A 22,041-nucleotide genomic window follows, 5' to 3' on the forward strand; every position below is an offset into this window, starting at 1 on the left:
TGTATCCGGAGTTTCTTCCTTCTGGTGGGTTCGTGGTCTCGCTGACTTCAGGAGTGAAGCCATGCACCCCCGTGGTGAGTGTTACAGCTCTTAAAGGCAGCATGTCTGGAATTGTTCATTCCTTCCAGTGGGTTCATGGTCTCGCTGGCTTCATGAGTGAAGCTGCAAACCTTCTGGGTGAGTGTTACAGCTTTTAAAGGCCACACAGACCAAAGAATGAGCAGCAGCAAGATTTATTGCAAAGAGCGAAAGAACAAACCCTCCACAGCGTGGAAGGGGACCTGAGCGGGCTGCCGCTGCTGGCTCCGATGGCCTGCGTTTATTCCCTTATCTGGCCCCACCCACATCCTGCTGATTGGTCCATTTTACAGAGAGCTGATTGGTCCATATTATGGAGAGCTGATTAGTCCATTTTGAAAGTGCTGATTGGTGGGTTTACAAACCTTTAGCTAGACACAGAGTGCTGATTGGTGCATTTACAATGCTTTACCTAGACAGAAAAGTTCTCCAAGTCCCCACCCATCCCAGAAGCCCAGCCGGCTTCACCTCCCACTGACACTCGCCCCAGGACTTTGTGGCACCTAGCCTGGGCACTCTGGCAGCCCAGAGGGATCTCGTCCCAGACAACCAAGAGGAAAAGAGGGGAAGGGAGAAAGACACGGAGACCTGCCATCATGGCCAACGACCCCATGAAGAGGGAACGGTGGTCCATGCGCGGGACCCAGCCTGTAATCAAGCCCAGCAGGCTCCGGCCTGCCGCACCAAGGAGCCCGCCCCCACCGGAACCCGCGCCGGCCCACCATCGCGGCACTCAGCCTGGGCTCCCGCCCACACCTCTCCCTCCACACCTCCCTGCGAGCAGAGGGAGCCGGCTCCGGCCTTGGCCAGCCCCAGAGAGGGGTTCCCACAGTTCAGCAGCGGGCTGAAGGGCTCCTCGAGCATGGCCAGAGCAGACGCCGAGGCCGAGGAGGCCCTGACAGTGAGCGAGGGCTGCCGGCACGTTGTCACCTCTCAACACCACTGCACTCCAGCCTAGGTGACAGAGTGAGACTCCATCTCAAAAAAACAAAAATGTAGTAAAATACATATAACATATAATGAACTATTTTAACGGTACAGCTCAGGAGTGTTAAGTATATTTATATTGTTCTGCAACAAGTCTCCAGAAATATTTTATCTGGCAAAACCAGTTAGTCACCAATGAATGTGCAGAATAGTGATGCAGAAGGAAATAAGTAAGATAATTTTCTATATTAGGACAATTGAGTCATGTAAAGGCCCAAAATGAAATATGACTTTTTGTGCCTCTAGTGGTAAAAGGTGATAACTTTAACAATACAACAGGGTGAATTAACAGGCACTCATGGGAGTATACATTGGTACAATTGCTTTGATAAAAAATTGGCATCATATTGATATTGACAATATATACTTTCACAGACACCCCATTCTTAGTATGTATATACTCAACAAATCTCTTGCCTATAGACAGCTGATACTCACAACATCACTGTTTGAACTAGCAAAAACTTGAAAACAAATCATATACACTGAAAGTATAACGGATAGATAGTGGCATAGTCACACATTAGAATATTCCACAAAAGAAATGAAATAAAGCTACCAACGACGTCGATGATAAATCTTAGCACTGAGTGAATCCTAGCACTGTGTAAGTAAATACATAAGTCTTAGTAAAATATAAATGCCATGTACATTTTAAAAAATTAAAGGAAAACCAAAACAACAGAGAAAAATTTTTCTTAGAATTAAACATATGATAAATTAAAGAGTAAGACTATGATGTAAGATTAATGATATTAATATATACCTTTAAAATATGATATTATTAAAATGTAATAAGGGATAAAAGATGGGAAAAGAGGTATCATACAAACAATAACCATAAATGACCTGCAATAGTTCACAGCTGAAAATAGCCACACAAATAGACTTGAAAGTGAATAAATGTTGAAAAAATAAAGCAAAATTTTATATTGATAAAAGGGACTGCCAAAGATGCAGATATAGCAATTATAAACATAATATGCACCCAACAGCAGAGCCTCAAAATATTTGAAATAAAAGTGACAGAATTAAAGGGAAAATTAGGTGTTTCTCTATTAATAGTTAGAAATTTCAGTACCCCACTGTCAATGCTAGATAGAAAAACTAGGCAGTATATTAAAAAGGAAATATAAGACTTGTACAATACTGTAAATTAACTAGATCTAATCTATAGAAAACTCCACCACTAAAAGCAGAATATACATTTTTTTCAAGTGTACAGAAAACCTTCTTAAAGATGAGCCATATACCAGACCAAAACACAAGCCTCACTAAATTTAAAACGGATGAAAAAATACAGAATATGTCCTTTGATCATAATAAAATAATTATACATCAATAATAAGAGGGAATTGGAAAATTAACAAATATGTGGGAATTGAATAAGATACTCTATCAAGAAAGTGAGAAGACAATCCATGGAATGGAAAAAACTACTTGCAAATCATACTTATAAAAAGGTACTTGTATCTAGAATATATGAATACCTCTTACAACTCAATAATAAAAGACAAAAATAATCCCATTAAATAATGAACAAAGAATCTGACTAGGCATTTAGCAAGGATGACATAAAAATGGCCAATATACACATACAAAAAAGATGTGCAACATAATCACCAGGCAAATGTAAATGAAAACCACAATATTGTAACACTTTACACACATGAGGATTTGAAAAATAAAAACATCAATTAACAAGTATTAAAAAGGATATAGAGAAATTGAAATATCCATCACTCCTAGTATAAATTTAAAATGGTACAGCCATTTTGGAACACAGTTTGGCAGTTTCTCAAGTGATTAAACATAGAGTTACTATGTGATTCAGTAATTCCACTCCCAGGTAAACACACAAGAGAAATGAAAACATATATCTAGACAAAAGCTTGTACATTAATATTTTAACAACACAATTAATAATAGCCAAAAAGTAGAAGCAATGCAAATGTCCATCAATAGATAAAAGGATAGACAAAATGTAGTATGTCTATAGATGAAATATTATTCAGCCATAAAATATAAAAGTACTGATATTGCTAGAGCATGAATAAATCTTGAAACATTATGCTAACTGAAAGTAACCAGACACAAAACACTTTACATTATATTATTTCACTCATTTGAAAGGCAAAAATAGGAAACGATATTATATAGACAGAAAACATACTAGTGGGTGCTTAGAACTGTGAAGGAGTGTTGGGGAGAGCTAGTGGGTATGACGTTAGTTTTTGAAATGATGACAGTGTTGTAAAATTGCCTATGGTAACCATTGCACATATCTCTAAACACACTAAAAACAATTGAATTGTATAATTTAAATATGTGAGATATACGATATGTCAATTATATCTTAAAAAACTGAAAAAAAATAATGACTATTACTAACATATATGTTTTGCTGTTCTGAATCCAGAGTTTCCCACAAAAGCTAATTACTCCACTTACAATGAGAAACTTCACACTTGACATAAATATGTGTAAGACAGGTGAAGAAAGGGAGTCCCTTGGGTATAATGTAGCTTATTAATAATAAATGAAAGTATCTTCACCCAACATGTATATAGTTAGAAAGCAAAATTTTCATTATGAAATAAAAGAGATGGAAGATGTTAAGAAAGAACCTATAATTTTCAGTCTTATATTTGAATTAGGATTAACAATATGATGTTATTGGGTTTTCTCTAAATATTATGTATTTTGAGGAGACCTTTGGAAAATGGCAGATAGGAAACAGGGCTAACATGCATCTCCCACTTGGATGGACAGAATAGTGTGTGGCAACTCACACTATGAACTTTTGCTCCAAGAGCTATTGCAGGAATGTACCAGGAAAACTGTAAGAATTTACAGATCCTTTGAAAAAAGCAGCACACCGCTTCAAATTCCATGAAGCAGGTGAAAAACTGTGTGTTCCCAAAGTGTGAGTGGGGGAAAACCTGCTTCTGAATGCACATTCCCGCTGGGGAATTGGAAAATTTAGACCACAGAAGAATTTAACCTTATCTAGAGCTGAAATGGATTTAAGGAGTTGTCTGAAATATACAAGTAGAAGCATCAGCAGGAAGAGCCTCAGAGGCACTTCCATTTTCCAGCTTAAGCCCAGGGAAGCCATTCCTGACTATATCTCACAGGGGCCCTCAGGGAAGGCAAACAATGGGATTAGGGAGTGTTAACAGGGTGAAAAAAGCTTCCAACTGAATTTTGTAATAATTTTGAATGTGCACAAACTTTTTGTGAGCAGAATCTGGGGGCAAAGGAGAAGTCCTGCAGATATGAGTGCAGGAGCCACCGCGAACATTGTGGACAGACAGGGAGGGGCAAGGCTGAAAACCTAGCTTGCTTGTTCAGTGGGGAAGCTTATAGTCTGGGACAAGGTCTGAGTTCCTCATGCAGGCTGCCTGCATCTAAACTTGATGCTGTTAGCGGGGCACTGTGGGAGCCAGAACAGCCTCACCAACTGCATGGGAACTGGGTGAGACCTTTTGCTACTGGCTATCCCCCACTTCCCTGGAGAACTATACAGCACAGCAGATTATTATTAACTATATAATCTTCTCTGGAACCTAATCCCATTGACCCGAGAATCACAACACCATCCCCCACAATGGTCATAGCAAGCCCTGCCCAAGGAGAGTTCAGACCTGCCTAACCCTGCCCCTACCTGATGGTTTTTTTCTACCCACCCTGGTAGCCAAACACAAAATACATATACTCTTGGGAGTTTTGTGGCCCCGCACATTGCCTGAGAAACCAGAATACCTACTCTGGCCAACTTAGGGCAAGTTTATATTACATTGCTAATACCAGACCTGGTGTTCTCTTGAAAGTACCACCTCCTGGCTGGAGGCCAATCATCTCAGGCCATTATAGCAACTCAAGACAGAATAATCCTGCTCCCAGGAAAAAGAAAACAATGACTAATACCACCAGCTGCAACATCCTGGCTAACCAAAGGTCCTGAGTCTGTCCATGTAACAACTTCACTGCTAGCATAGCCAGCATTTGATAAAGCCAGCACACTAAACAATCTACTACCAAGGACTCTGAATGAGTCTACTTCATTCCTCTGCCACCTCCACCAGAGCCAGTGCTGGTATCTATGGCTGGAAAACCTGAAGACAGGTCACATCACATGACTCTTTGCAGATATTCCCCAGCACCAGCTTGGAGCCTGGTAGCCCTGCTGGGTGGCTAGACCCAGAACAGCAATAAAGATCACTGCAGTCTGGCTCTCAGAAAGCCCCATTCCTAGAGGAAGCAGGAGAGCACCACATCAAAAGATCACCCTGTGGGATAAAAGAATCTGAACACCAGGCCTTGAGTTACAGATCTTTGCACTGGTGGGTAGTTCTTCACAGCAGAGACACAATTACAGGGCTGGGCACAGTAGAGAAAGTCTGCATCTATACCCCAACAGCAGGCAGCTTCTCTGATCATGAAGGGCCTTGGAGAAGGGATCCTTGTTCCCCTCTGACACTCCACCGCAGATACAGCTGGGGCTTCCCCCACAGGAATGCAGCCTGGAGGCACCTATAGTCAGACTTTCTGGAACAATTCAGGGTGAGTGCAGCCCCACAGGAGGAGCACACTCCAGATTCAGGCCTGCATGAGAGGCAGAGACACAATTCCCTCCTACTTGGAACATCAACATTCCTATAGATGAAAAGAGGTGCCTGTCTGATCTGAATAGCTGAAACAGTAGGACAGGAATGAGGCTGGGAGGTGAATAGCTTTCCTGCTGACCTGGCAAGGGAGCTGAGGTAGCTCCCACTCTTCACCCTGATAAAACCTTAGCACAGCTACTTGAGAGCTCCCCCAGCTACCATCATCAAGGCCGGGACGTTGGCCCACCATTCGGTATTACATCTACCCACCTCCCTTAGCCACAACTGAGCCAGCTAAAGAATTTATAAGGTTTGTTATTAAGCTACTCAAAGAGATACCAGAGGAAGGTGAAACCAACTTCTAAAAATTAAAAAAAATATATACAGGGTATGGATGCAAAATTTTCCAGAGAAATAGATATCATGAAGGAAAAACAGTCACAACTTCTGGAAATAACAGACACAATTAGAGAAATACAAAATGCACAGGAAAGTTTCAACAATAGACTAGAACAAGTAGAAAAGAGAAATCAGAGCTTGAAGACAAGGCTTTCAGATTAACCCAATCAGACCAAGACAAATAAACTTTTTTTTTTAATAACAAAGCCTGCAACTAATTTGGGATTACGTAAAGCAGTCAAATCTAAGAATAATTGGTATTCCTGAGGAAGAAGAGAAATCTAAAAGTTTGGAAAAATTATTTGAGGAAATAATTATGCTAAACTTCCCTGGCCTTGTTATAGATCTAGACATTCAAATACAAAAAGCTCAAAAAATTTCTGGGAAATTCATCACAAGAAGATCATCACCTAAGCACGCAGTCATCAGTCTAAAGTCAAGGTGAAGGAAAGAATCTTAAGAGCTGTGAGACAAAAGCATCAGGCAAACAATAAAGAAAACCTATCACATTAACAGCAGTTTTCTCAGCAGAAACGTTATAAGCCAGAAGGATTGAGGTCCAATCTTTAGCCTCTTTAAACAAGATATTTGGCAGCCAAGAATTTTGTATCTAATGAAACTAAGCTTCATAAAGGAAGGAAAAGCAGTCTTTTTCAGACAAATAAATGCTAAGAGAATGTGCCATTACCAAGCCAGGAGTACAAGTAATGCTAAAAAGAGTTCTACATCTTGAAACAAAACCTCAAAATACACCAAAATAGAACCTCTTTAAAGTGTAAATGTCACAAGGCCTATAAAACAATAATCCAATGGGAAAAACAAGGTATTTAGAAGGCAACTACCATGGTGAATAGAAAAGTACCTCACATCTCAATATTAACGTTGAATGCAAGTGGCCTAAATTCTCCACTTAAAAGATGCAGAATGACAGAATGGATAAAAATCCACCAACTAAGTAACTGCTATCTCCAAGAAACTCACCTAACACATAAGGACTCACATAAACTTAAAGTAAAAAGGTGGAAAACAATATCCCATGCAAACAGAAACCAAAAGTGAGCAGGAGTGCCTATTCTTATATCAGACAAAACAGACTTAAAGCAAAATCAGAAAAAAATAAAATAAAATAAAAAGATTAGTCCTACAGAAAAATATCACAATCCTAAATATATTAGGTTGGTACAAAAACAATTGCAATTTTTGCCATGACTTTTAATGACAGAAACTGCAATTACTTTTGCACCAACCTAAGTATATGCACCTAACACTGGAGCTCCCACATTTACAAAACAATTACTACCAGACCTTAGAAATTAGATGGACAGCAACACAAAAAGAGGGGAAGAATTCAGTAGTCTACTGACAGCACTAGACTGGTCATCAAGACAGAAAGTCAACAAAGAAACAATGAACTTAAACTACACCCCAGAACAAATAGACTTAAAAGATATTTACAGAACATTCTACCCAACAACTGCAGAATATGCACACTTTTTATCTGCACATGGAACATTCTAGAAGCTAGATCATGTTGGCCACCAACATGTCTCAACAAATTTAAGAAAGTGGAAATCACATCAAGTATCCTCTCAATCCAGAGTGGAATAAAACTGGAAATGAATTTCAAAAGGAACCCTCAAAATTATTAAAATATATGAAAATTAAATAATCTGCTCTTGAATGATCTTTGGGTTAACAATGAAATCAAGATGGAAATTTAGAAATTCTTTGAACTGAACAACAGTGACACAACTTATCAAAACCACTGGGACACAGCAAAAACAGTGCTAAGAGGAGAGTTCATAGCATTACATGCCTACATGAAAAAGTCTGAAAGAGCACAAATAGGCAATTCAAGGTCACACCTCAAGGAACTAGAGGAACAAGAACAAACCAAACCCAAACCCAGCAGAAGAAGAGAAATAACAATGATCAGAGCAGAACTAAATGAAACTGAAACAACAAAACAATACAAAAGATAAACAAAAAGCTGGTTCTTCAAAAAATAAAACTGATAGACTATTAGTGAGATTAATAAAATAAGAAGAGAGACGAACCTAATACGCTCAATTAGAAATGAAACAGGAGACATTACAACCGATACTATAGAAATGCAAAAGATCGTACAAGGCTACAATGAACACCTTCATACATACAAACTAGAAACTCTAGAGAAGGTAGATAAATTTCTGGTAATATACACCCCTTCTGGATTAAATCAGGAAGAAACAGATACTCTGAACTAACCAATAATAAGTAGTGAAATTAAAACAGTAATAACAAAATTGCCAGCAAAAAAAGTGCAGGACCTGATAGATTCACAAGTGAATTCTGTGTGGCATTCAAATAATTGGTACCAATACTGCTGAAACTATTCCAAAGGATAGATGAAGAGGGAATCCTCCCTAAAGCATTCTATGATGCCAGTATCACCCTAATACCTCAACCAAGAAAGGACATAACAAAAAGAGAACTCCAGACCAATATCCCTATTGAATATAGATTCAGAAATTCTCAACAAAATATTAGCTAACTGAGTCCAACAGCATATTAAAAAGATAATACATCATGATCAAGTCGGTTTTATGCCATGGATGCATGGATTATTTAAGACATGCAAGTAAATAAACATGACACATCACATAAACAGAATTAAAAACAAAAATCATATGATCATCTCAATAGACACAGAAAAAGTTATCTTACAAAATCTAGCATTGCTTTATGATTAAAACCCTCAGCAGGCTGGGCATGGTGGCTCACGCCTATAATCCAAGCACTTTGGGAGGCCGAGGCAGGTGGATTATGAGGTCAGATGGAGACCACCCTGGCTAACACGGTGAAACCTTGTCTCTAATGAAAATCCAAAAAATTAGCCAGGCATGGTAGCATGCGCCTGTAGTCCCAGCTACTTGGGAGGTTGAAGCAGGAGAATCGCTTGAACCCAGGAAGTGGAGGCTCCGGTGAGCTGAGATTGCACCACTGCACTCCAGCCTGGGTGACAGAGTGAGACTCTGTCTCAAACAAACAAACAAAAAAAACAAGTCCTCAGCAAAATTGACATAGAAGGGACATACTTCAAGGTAATAAAAGCCATCTATGACAAACCCGCAGCTAACATTATACTAAATGGGGAAAAGTTGAAATCATTCTCCCTGAGAACTGGAAAAAGAATTCCTACTTTCACTACTTCTATTCAACATAGTCCTGGAATTCCTAGCTAGAGCAATCAGACAACAGAAAAAAAATAAAAGGCATCCAAATTAGTAAAGATGAAGTCAAACCGTTGCTGTTTGCTGATCATATACCTAGAAAACCCTGAAGAATCATCCAAAAAGCTCCTAGATCTGATAAATGAATTCAATAAAGTCTCAGTTTACAAAATTAATGTACACAAATCAGTAGCACTGCTATACACCAACAATGACCAATCTGAGAAAAAAATCAAGAACTCAATACTTTTTACAACAGCTGCAAATAAGATGACATAAAATACTTAGGAATATACTTAACCAAGGAGGTAAAATACCTCTACAGGGAAAACTATGAAATGCTGCTGAAAGAAATCATGGATGAGACAAACAAATGGAAACACACCCCATGCTCATGGATGGGTAGAATCAATATTGTGAAAATAACCATACTGCCAAAAGCAATCTTCAGATTCAATGCAATTCCCATCAAAATAGCACCATCATTCTTCACAGAACTAGAAAAATAAATCCAAAAATTCATACAGAACCAAAAGAAAGCCTGTATACACAAAGCAAGACTAATCAAAAAGAACAAATCTGGAGGCATTACACTACCTAATTTCAAACTATACTATAAGGCCATAGTCACAATAACAACATGGTAGTGGTATCAAAAGAGGCACATAGACCAATGGAACAGAATAGAGAACTCAGAAATAAAGCCGAATACTTACAGCCAACTGATCTTTCATAAAGCAAACAAAAACATAGAGTGGGGAAAGGACACCAGGTTCAATAAATGGTGCTGGGATAATTGGCAAACCACCTGTAAAAGAATGAAACTGGATCCTCATCTCTTACCTTATACAAAAATCAACTCAAAATGGATCAAAGGCTTAAATCTAAGACCTGAAACCATAAAAATTCTAGAAGATAACATTGGATAAATTCATCTAGACATTGGCTTAGGCAAAGAGTTCGTGATGAAGAGCCCAAAAGCAAATCGCAACAAAAACAAAAATAAATAGATGGGACCTAATTAAACTAAAAAGCTTCTGCACAGCAAAAGAAATGATCAGCAGAGTAAATAGACAACCCACAGAGTGGGAGAAAATATTCACAAACTATGTATCTAACAAAGGACTAATATCCAGAATCTTCAAGGAACTCAAACAAATCACAAGAAAAAAAATCCCATCAAAAAGTGAGCTAAGGACATAAATAGACAATTCTCAAAAGAAAATATACAGATGGCCAAAAAAATATGAAAAAATGCTCAATATTACTAATTATCAGGGAAATGCAAATCAAAACCACAATGAAATACCCCCTTACTTCTGCAAAAATGGCCATAATTAAAAAATTAAAAAAAATAGATATTTGCATGGATTTGGTGAAAAGAGAACACTTTTACACTGAAGCCATAAAAATTCTAGAAGATAAAATTTACCTGAATGTTTGTTGGGAATGTAAACTAGTACAACCACTAGGGAAAACAGTATGGAGATTCGATAAGGAATTAAAAGTTGAACTACCATTCAATCCAGCAATCCCACTACTAGGTATCTACCCAAAGGAAAAGAAGTCATTGTATAAAAAAGACATTTGCACATGCATGTCTATAGCAGCACAATTCACTATTGCAAAAATATGGAACCAGCCTAAATGCCCATTAACCAATGAGTGGATTAAAAAAATGTAGTATATATACACCATGGGATATACACACCACACTCAGCCCTTAAAAGGAATGAAAGAATGGCCTTTGCAGCAACCTGGATGGGGCTGGAGAAGATTATTCTAACTGAAGTAATGAAGGAATAGAAAACCAAATATCATATGTTCTCACTTATAAGTGGCAGCTAAGCTATGGGGATGCAAATGCCTAAGAATGATATAATGGACTTTGGGGACTTGGGAGGAAGGGTGGGAGAGGGGTGAGGGATAAATACTACACATTAGGTATAGTGTACACTACTCAGTTGACAGGTGCTCCAAAATCTCAGAAATCACCACTAAAGAACTTATCCATGTAACCAAAAACCACTTGTTCCCCCAAAATTATTAAAATATAATAAAATAAAAATATACTATGTGTTTTCTAGCTCTGCCATTGAAAAGGCTTGGAATGAAATAATCAAGTGGCAGTGTTGGAGCATGAAAGAGACATTAACAGTGAATATAACCTGTGAGAATGCTTTGCATCCTGATGCAAACAATAGTAAAATAACAGTAAAAAGTTTCAAGGCAGAGAAATTTGGATTTGAATTAAGTGATATTGGAAATAGTTATTATTTTCAGGTGTTATGGAGACATCTTAGTTTATTAAAAGCACACACATATTTTCATATACATACATATTCACAAACACATTAACATATACATACTATGTGTGGGTATATATATATATATATATATATATGCAATTGTGTATGTGCACACTCACATACAAATTTGGAGAGAGAAAAATGAAGCCTAATTTACAAGGATTAATACTAATATTTGAAGCTGGGCCATGAATACAAGTTTAGTATATCTCTCTACTTTTGTCAACGTTTAACATTTTTCGCAATAAAATATTTTTAAATAATGTGCCACTAGTTTTTTGTCAATTTCAAACAGTATTTAAATGTTATTATTAAGTGATAAACAGCATTATTATTAATGTAGCAAGTTAAAAAGCATGAGATAAATTCAAATGCTGTGCAATTATGGGTTAAGAGTGCAAAATGGTCCTGAATCTCATCACAACCTGTGCATTTCTCTTTGTAACTATTTTTAAAAATACAGTAATCATTTATATGAACTTTTTTTGCATAAAACAGTAGCTGCCTTATTTTTGCCCATTCCTCCTATATTACTGTGGAAGAGGGATAAAAGTTGGTCAGCTCTGGGTAAAAATAAAATTGTTTTGTTATTAATTAACCAGTCTACGTATATTCATAACAGTGTACTTTTAGTTGCACTTCTAGCTTTGTAATTGCCTTTGAAATGTCAAGGACCTGACTAACACTATTTGGCAGACATATTATAGCCCATCTTATCCCTCTCCTATCACAGCTCATTTTTTCTTCCTTTGCTTTCTGAATATGAACCATGGAAATCTAACTCTAGATAATCCATAATACTTTGTTTCTCAGAGTATTGCAATGCATTTCTTCATCCTAGATATGAGTGTTACACAAAGTTTTCCAGTCAGCAAGACATAGCAAGATATCTGCGATTTCTCATATCCTGCACTGCCAAATTGAAGAACAATTATAATGATTTGAAATGTATTACACGTGGTTACCCATTCCCCAAAACATCTCTCAAATGACAAAACAAAGCTATGTTCTGGAAGCACAGAATGCTGATAAAGATTACCCAGACCTTTTATGGCTGTGGTTAAATTAAAAGTGAAATAAAATGCTGTAATCTAAGCTGCTGAATTTAAATTAATACAATGTTTTCTATGGCTCTATGCCTCTCTTTATGAAGAGGGTTTTCCCCCAGGGTTTGCAAAACAATGGGATAAATCAGGCATTACCCTGTGGTGGTAAAGAGCACGTGCATTTGATTTGGGAGAATCCTTACTTTCCACTTTAAGAGCCAAATGGCCTTGGGAAACTAACTGCTAAGCCTTTCTATGTTAATATGTTTGATCAGTAAAAGCAGACCTTATGATACTTCTAATAACAGGTTTTGAATAACGTCACTTCATAGCTTCCTCACATCCATTTGCATTTTCTAATGTGCAAGGGGCCTTTTGTTTTTGCTAAAAGGGTAGTGAAAAAATGCTTACGGATCAGAGGAAAAGACATGTATTAGTTAACACTCATTGCTGTATCAAACGATACCAAAAATACAAAATTGTTAAAACATATATTTATTATTTGCACTGTGAAAGTTGAAAAGGTGTTCTGTATCAATTAAAAGCTCCTTTCTAAGAGGTGATTCAGATATTATCCATTCTGCTTTCACCTGTTGGTTGCACCAACTGATGGTCCTCATAGTTGCCTAAGGTGATAGTATCCAGTTGGAGGATGAGAGAAAATAGTGCGGAAAAGGTTAAACTTTGTTTTAATTACATAAGCCAAAAAGTAATATAGAGCACTTTTGTTCACATAATATTTGTGAAGACTTGTAGGGCCCTACAAGGGAATTGGATAATATAATCTTTAGCTAGACTCTAGCTGCTTCTGAGCAATAACTCTACAATACGAAAGGTAATCACAAATATTTGATAGTCAGCTAGTTATTTCTGACACAAGAACATTTGAGGAAAACAACGAAGTGTGTTGGTTGATGTAAGTACTAGGATAGGGAACATATCTTATTTAGCAATGACTATTCTACGTGATTCACTTAATATAATATTTGAAAAGAAACAAATGAATTTCTCATTAAAGAAATCAGTATGTTTTTTACTTTTGAGAAGGTAGCTTCTGAGATGGAACATGAGAAGGGACGTTTAGGGTCTTGGCTAAATATATATATAAATATATATATATATATATAAATAAATATATATATATAAATATATATATATATAAATATATATATATATATATACACACACACACACATACACACACACACACAAATATATATATATCTCTTTTTTAAAAAACAGGGTATTAGTTAAGTGGGTGTGATCACCAAAATTCGTCTGCTATATATTTCAGGTTGTGTGTTTAATATATAAAATACTTCATTAACACATTTTCTTTCAAAATTAAATGCTTAAAAAATAAAGAATACTGAGAGCGTATTAATACTGATTACAGTAACAAAATGCAGTATGGTATAATACACTTTGAGCCAAGCTTTACCAGATCCCAGCCATTCACCTGAAGGCACTTGTGATAGCATTTCTAGTTGAATGTAAAAAGAATTCAAGTAGTTTGGGAAAGAACATTGTAATCTGGACCCTGGTTAAGTGGTTCATTAATTAGTCCTGGAAAGCAACACATTTTTGAAAGAACATAGAAAGCTGATAAAACGGGAGGGGATGATTTACTCCTAGTAAGAAAAAAAATGTTTTAAGTGTATCCTCTGTCTTTACCCTCATTTTTTCACTATATTAAACATATGCTGTCAAGTTAAAAACTGTCATTTAGTGAAATGATGTAACTGTCAAATGTTGCAGCACTACCTTGGCCTATCCTTAGATAGTTCAATAGTAGAATTGCATTTACTGTTATATCATTTGCAAATTCTTGAAAAATCTTGTGCATATGTACTATCAATTATGCACTAAAGGAAATGATAACTATTGTTCAAGGTCAAAACAAAGTTTTTATTTATAGTCAATCAACACTTTTATTTTAATTATTTTTTTTCTTCTGTGGTTTAGTCACCTCAGCCATTCCAGCCTTCTGGCTCTGGAGAGTCCAGGCAGTCCGGATAAGGAAGGGTCACCCCTAATTCAGCACATCTGCACTAACAAAATGCAGCCAGACAGCTTCTTTAAATGAGTCCCTGATCCCATTCCTTCTGACTGGGTGAAACCTCCCTACAGGAGTTTTCAGAGGGTTTGGGGTGGGCCAGCAACAGGGTAGTACCCCCCTGGGATGGAACTTCCAGAGAAAGGAGCAGGCTGCCATCTTTGCTGTTTTGTAGCCTTTACCTCCAGGTATGGGAAAAACTGAGGCAACCAGGATCTGGAGTGGATCCCCAGCCAACTGTAGCAGCCCTAAGGAAGAGTGGCCAGACTGTTCAGAGAAAAACAGATGAACAGAAAGCAACAAGAGCAATAACATTAACAAAAAAGACCTCACAAAAACCGCATTCAAAGGTCAGTAACCTCAAAGATTGAGGTAGATAAGCCCATAAAGATGAGAAAGGATCAAAGCAAAAATGCTGAAAACTCAAAAAGCCAGAGTGCCTCTTCTCCTCCACAACATCTCTCCAGCAAGGGCACAGAGCTAGGCTGAGGCTTAGATAGCTGAACTGACAGAAACTGGCTTCAAAAGGTGGGTAATAATTAACTGAACTAAAGGAGCATGTTGTAACCCAATGCATAGAATTGGGTTACATGAATCATGATAAAACAATAGAGGAGCTTGTAACCAGAATAGTCAGTTTAGAGAGGAACATAACCAACCTGATGGCATTGAAAAACACAACATAAGAACATTACAATACAATCACAAGTATCAATAGCAAGATAGACCAGGAGGAGAAAAGAGTGTCAGATCATGAAGACTGTTTTTCTGAAATAAGACAGGCAGACAAGATTAGAGAAAAAGGAACGAACAAAACCTCTGAGAAATGTGGGATTATGTAGAAAAACTGAACCTATGACTGACTGGGGTATCTGAAAGGGATGGGGAGAATAAAACCAAGTTGGAAAACACACTGCAGAATATCATCCAGGAGAACTACCCTAACCTAGCAAGACTGGCCAAAATTAAAATTCAGGAAATGCAGAGAACTCCAGTAAGTTACTCCATGAGAAGATCAACCCCCAGACATATAATTAGATTCTCCAAGGTCAAAATGAAAGGAAAAGTGGTAAGGGCAGCCAGAGAGAAAGGCCAGGTCACTTATAAAGGGAAGTCCATCAGACTAACAGTGGAACTCTCAGAGGAAACCCTACAAACCAGAAAAAGTTGGGAGCTAATATTCAACATTCTTGAAGAAAAGAATTTCCAAACCAGATTTTCATATTCAACCAAACAAAGCTTCATAAACAAAGGAGAAATAAGATCCTTTTCAGATAAGCAAATGCTAAGGGAATTTGTCTAGTATTGCCTTGCAAGAGCTCCTGAAGAAATCACTAAATATGGAAAGGAAAAGCCATTACCAGCCACTACAAAAACACACTGAAGTACACAGACCAGTGACACTATGAAACAACCATTTAAACAAGTCTGCAAAATAACCAGTTAGCATCATAATGATAGGATCAAATTCACACATAAGAATACTAACCTTAAACGTAAATTGGGCTACATGCCCAAATTAAAAGTAGCAGAATAGCAAGCTGGATAAACAGCCAAGACCCATCAGTATGCTGTCCTCAACAGACCCAACTCACATGAAAGGACATTCATGGACTCAAAATAAAGAGATGTAAGTAAATTAACCAAGCAAATGAAAAGCAGAAAAAAGCAGGGATTGCAATCCTAGTTTCTGGCAAAACAGACTATAAACCAACAAAGATAAAAAAAGACAAAGAAGGCTATTACATAATGGTAAAGGGTTCAATTCAACAAGAGGAGCTAAATATCCTAAATATATACGCACCCAATATAGGAACACTCAAATTCATAAAGCAAGTTCTTAGAGACCTACAAAGAGACTTACACTCCCACACAATAATAGTGGGAGGGTTTTATACCCCACTGACAATATTAGACAGATCATGGAGACAAAAAATTAATAAAGATATTCAGGACCTGAGCTCAGCTCTGGATCAAGCAGCCCTGATCTACAGAACTGTGTACCCCCTAAAAACAGAATATACATTTTTCTCATCACCCCACATCAGTTACTCTAAAATTGATCACATAATGGGAAGTAAAACACCCCTCAGCAAATGCAAAAGAACTGAAATCATAACAGTCTATCAGACCACAGCACAATAAAATTAGAACTCAAGATTAAGAAATTCACTTGAAAATGCATAACTACATGGAAATTGAACAACCTGCTCTTGAATGACTTGGGTAAATAATGAAATTATGGCAGAAACTAAAGAGAATAAAAGAGACAACATACCAGAATCTCTGGGACACAGCTAAAGCAGTGTTAGGAGGAAATTTATAGCACTAAATGCCCACAGCCAAAAACTAGAAAGATCTCAAGTTAACAGCCTAACATCACAACTGAAAGAACTAGAGAACCAAAAACAAACAAACCCCAAAGCTAGCAGAAGATAAGAAATAACCACGATCAGAGCTGAACTGAAAGAGACAGAGACATAAACAACCCTACAAAAAAATCAACAAATCCAGAAAATGATTTTTTTTTTGAAAAAAGTAATAAAATAGATAGGCCATCAACTAAACAAATAAGAAAAGAGAGAAGAATCAAATAAACACAATCAGAAATGATAAGGGGGATATCATCACTGACCCCACAGAAATAAAAAACAACCATCAGAGAACCCAACAAATACCTCTATGCACATAAACTAGAAAGTCTAGAAGAAATGAATAAATTCCTTGACACATACACCCTCCCAAGATGGAATCAGGAAAAAACTGAATCCCTGAATAAACCAATGACAAGTTCTGAAATTGAGGAAGTAATAAATAGCCTACCAAACAATAAAAGCCCAGAACCAGAGAGACTCACAGCTGAATTCTACCAGAGGCACAAAGAAGACCTCCTACCATTTCTACTGAAATTATTCAAAAAAATTGAAAAGAAGGGACTCCTCTCTAACACATCTTATGAGGTCAGCATCACCTTAATGCCAAAACCTGGCAGAGACACAACAAAAAATAAGAAAACTTCAGACCAGTATCTCTGATGAACATTGATGCAAAAATCCTCAATAAAATACTGGCAAACTGAATCCAGCAGCACATCAAAATGCTTATCCACCACAGTGAATTTGGCTTCATCCCTGGGATGCAAGGTTGGTTCAACATACACAAATCAATAACTGTGATTCACCGCATAAACAGAAATAAAGACATAAACCATAAACCACATGATTATCTCAATAGATGCAGAAAAGTCCTTCAATAAAATTCAACATCCCTTCATGTTAAAAACTCTTAATAAACTAGGTATTGAGGAACATACCACAAAATAATAGGAGCCACATATGACAAACCCACAGCATATATCATACTAATTGGACAAAAGCTGGAAGCACTCCCCTTGAAAACCAGGACAAGACAAGGATGCCCTCTCTCACCACTCCTATTTAATGTAGTATTGGAAGTTCTGTCCAGGGCAATCAAGCAAGAGAAAGAAACAAACTGTATCTGAATAGGAAGATAAAAAGTCAAATTGTCTTTGTTTGCAGATGACATGTTCTCATATCTAGAAAACCCCATTGTCTCAGCCCAAAAGCTTCTTAAACTGAGAAACAAATACAGCAAAGTCTCAGTAGACAAAATCAATGTTCAAATAATGCTAGCATTCCTACACACCAAAAATAGGCAAGCACAAAGCCAAATAATGAATGAACTCCAATTCACAATTGCTACAAAGACAATAAAATACCAGCCTGGCATGGTGGCTCATGCCTGTAATCCCAGCACTTTGGGAGGCCAAGGTGGGCAGATCACCTGAGGTCAGGAGTTTGAGACCAGCCTAATCAACATGGCGAAACCCCGTCTCCCCATCTCTACTAAAAATACAAAATTAGCCAGCTTGCTGGTGCATGACTGTAATCCCAGCTGCTTGGGAGGCTGAGGCAGGAGAATCATTTGAACCCAGGAGGCAGAGGTTGCAGTGAGCTGAGATTGAGCCACTGCACTCCAGCCTGGGCAACAAGAATAAACTCTCTCTCTCAAAAAAAAAAAAAAAAAAAAAGAAAGAAAAAAAGAAAGAAAGAAAAAAAAAAGAATAAAATACCTAAGAATTAAGAATACAGCTAACAAGTGAAGTGAAGGGCCTCTTCAAGGAGAACAAACCACTTCTCAAATAAATCAGAGAACACAAACAAATGGAAAAGCATTCCATGTTCATGGATAGAATCAATATCGTGAAAATGGCCATACTGCACAAAGTAATTTATAGGCTCAATGCTATTCCCATTAAACTACCATGACATTCTTCACAGAATTAGAAAAAAAAACTATTTCCTAATTTATATGTAACCATAAAAGAGCCCATATAGCCAAGAAAGTTCTAAGCAAAAAGAACAAAGTTGGAGGCATCATGCTACCCATCTTCAAATAATACTACAAGGCTCCAGTAACGAATTAGCATGACACTGCTACAAAAACAGACACGTAGACAAATGGAACAGAAGAGAGAACTCAGAAATAAGATTGCACACCTACAACCATCCGATCTTTGATAAACCCCACAAAAACAAGCAATGAAAAATGGACTTTCTATTTAATAAATGGTGCCAGGAGAACTGGTTAGCTATATGCAGAAAGTTGAAACTGAACCCCTACCTTACACCTTACACAAAAATTAACTCAAGATGGATTAAAGATTTAAATGTAAAACTCAAATCTATAAATACCATTCAGGACATAGGCAAGGGCAAAAATTTCATAATGAAAACACCAAAAGCAATAGCAACAAAAGCCAAAATTGACAAGTGGGATCTAATTAAACTAAAGAGCTTCTGCACAGCAAAAGAAACTATCATTGGAGTGAACAGATAACCTACAGAATGGGAGAAAAATTTTGCAATCTATCCATCTGACAAAGATCTAATATCCAGGCTCTACAAGGAACTTAAACAAACTTACAAGAAAAATCAACCCCATTAAAAAGTGGGCAAAGGACATGAACAGACACTTCTCAAAATAAGACATTCATGCAATTAAGAAACATGAAAAAATGCTCAACATCACTGATCATTAGAGAAATGAAAATCAAAACCACAATGAGATACCATCTCATGCCAGTCAGAATGGTGATTATTAAGAGTCAAGAAACAACAGATGTTGGTGAGGCTGCAGAGAAAAAACAGATGCTTTTATACTGTTGGTGCAAGCGTAAATTAGTTCAACCATTGTGGAAGACAGCATGGTGATTCCTCAAAGACCTAAAGGCAGAAATACCATTTGACTGAGAAATCCCATTGCTGGGTATATACCCAAAGGAATATAAATCATTCTATTATAAAGATACATGCACGCATATGTTCATGGCAGCACCATTCATAATAGCAAAGACATGGAATCAACCTAAATGCCTATTAATGATAGACCGGATTTAAAAAATGTGGTACACAAACACCATGGAATACTATGCAGCTGTAAAAAAGAATGAGATCATGTCCTTTTTAGGGACATGGATAAAGCTGAAAACTGTTATCCTCAGTAAACTAACACAGGAGCAGAAAACCAATTATCATAAGTCCTTCCTTATAAGTGTGAGCTGAAAGATAAGAACACATAAACATTGGGGGAACAACACAAACTGGGACCTGTCAGGGGTATGAAAGGAAGGAGAGCATCGGGGAAAATAGCTAATGGATGTTGAGCTTAATACCTAGGTGATGGGATGATCTATGCAACAAATCACTGTGGCGCACGTTTACCTATGTAACAAACCTACACATCCTGCACATGTACCACTGAACTTAAAAGTTGAAGAAAAAAATATTTTTAAAATTGTGTATATTTAAAGTGTACAATGTGATGTTTTGATATGTGCATGTATTGTTAAATTATTATCACAATTAAGCTACCATATAGTTACCATTTTTCATGTGTGTAATGAGAACAGTTAAGGCCTACTCTCAGCAAATTTCAAGTAAACAATATAATATTACTATCATTACTATGTTGTACATGAAATCTTCAAAACTTACTTATTATACATATTTGAAACTTCGTACAATTTGCCAAGAAAGCTTACAAATATGTATTTTTGTGTGTTTTATAATTACATAATTACCTTTATTTTTGCTTTTTTTCCATTTCAATAGGTTTTTGGGGAACCGGTGGCATTTGGTAACATGAATATGTTCTTTAGTAGTGATTTCTGAGATTTCTGTGCACCCATCACCCAGTGTACACTGTACCCAGTGTGTTGTCTTTTATCCCTCACCCTCTCCCACACTTTCCCCAAGTCCCCAAAGTCCATTGTATCATTCTTATGCCTTTGCATCCTCATAGCTTAGTTCCCACTTACGAGTGAGAACATACCATGTTTTGTTTTCCATTCCTGAGTTATTTCACTAAGAATAATTGTCAAAAGTTCCATCCAGGTTGCTACAACTGACATCATTTTGTTCCTTTTTATGGCTGAGTAGTTTGCTGAATCAAATGTTAATTCTGCTCTCTGTTTCTTTGTGTAGGTCACTTTCCTGCATTCAGAAGAAATTCTTTTGGTATTTATTGTATAACACATTTGCTAGTAACAATTTCTGTTAGTGTTTATTTTTCTAGAAAAGTCTTTATTTCCCCTTCATTTTTCATAGATAGCTTTGTTGGATGTAGGAGTCTTAGTTGACAGGAATTTTATGTTTGTTTGTTTTTTGTTTCTCTTAGCTTTTAAAATATTTTATCGTACTACCTTCTGACATCTTTTTAAAAAAATTTTTTCTGCCAAGAATTCAGCTTTAAACCTTATTGGGTTTTCCTTGTAAGTGATTCATTGTTTTTCTCTTGTTGCTTCCAAGATTTTTTTTTTTTTTTTTGCTGTTAACTTTCAATATTTTTACTATAATGTGTCTGTTCGTAGATCTCTTTGCATTTATTCCACTAAGAGTTTTTTCAGCCCTCCCTTTTTTTGAGACAGTGTTTCACTTTCACCCAGGCTGGAGTGCAGTGGTACATTCACAGCATACTGCATCCTTGACTTCCCAGGCTCAAGCAGTCCTCCCACATCAGCCTCCTCAGTAGCTGGAACTAAAGGTGCATGCTACCATGCCCAGCTAATTTCTTATTTTTTGTAGAGATGAGGCCTCACTCACTTGCCAAGGCTGCTCTCACACTCCTGTGCTTGAGCAGTCTTCCCGCTTCAGCTTCCCAAAGTGCTGGGATTACAGATATGAACCACCACATCCTTATTTGTTTGAATATTTTTTCTTCTCCTTTGTCTTCTCTCCTGGTAACTCTCATTACATGTGTGTTGATGCTCTCAATGGTGTTCCACATTTCTTTGAGGCTTTGTCTATTTTCTTTTATTCTTTT

At 37.1% G+C, this 22,041-nt stretch overlaps 1 annotated feature.

The window, feature by feature from the left end:
- Nucleotides 5,409-6,059: an enhancer, noted in NCBI's record as "OCT4-NANOG hESC enhancer chr11:97593687-97594337 (GRCh37/hg19 assembly coordinates)". NCBI's record gives its function as "activates a minimal SCP1, AML or CMV promoter by ChIP-STARR-seq in naive H9 embryonic stem cells {active_cell/tissue: H9 hESC(naive)}" and the evidence as "EXISTENCE:reporter gene assay evidence [ECO:0000049][PMID:30033119]".

Source organism: Homo sapiens, chromosome 11, assembly GCF_000001405.40.
Source record: "Homo sapiens chromosome 11, GRCh38.p14 Primary Assembly".
Lineage (NCBI taxonomy): Eukaryota > Metazoa > Chordata > Mammalia > Primates > Hominidae > Homo > Homo sapiens.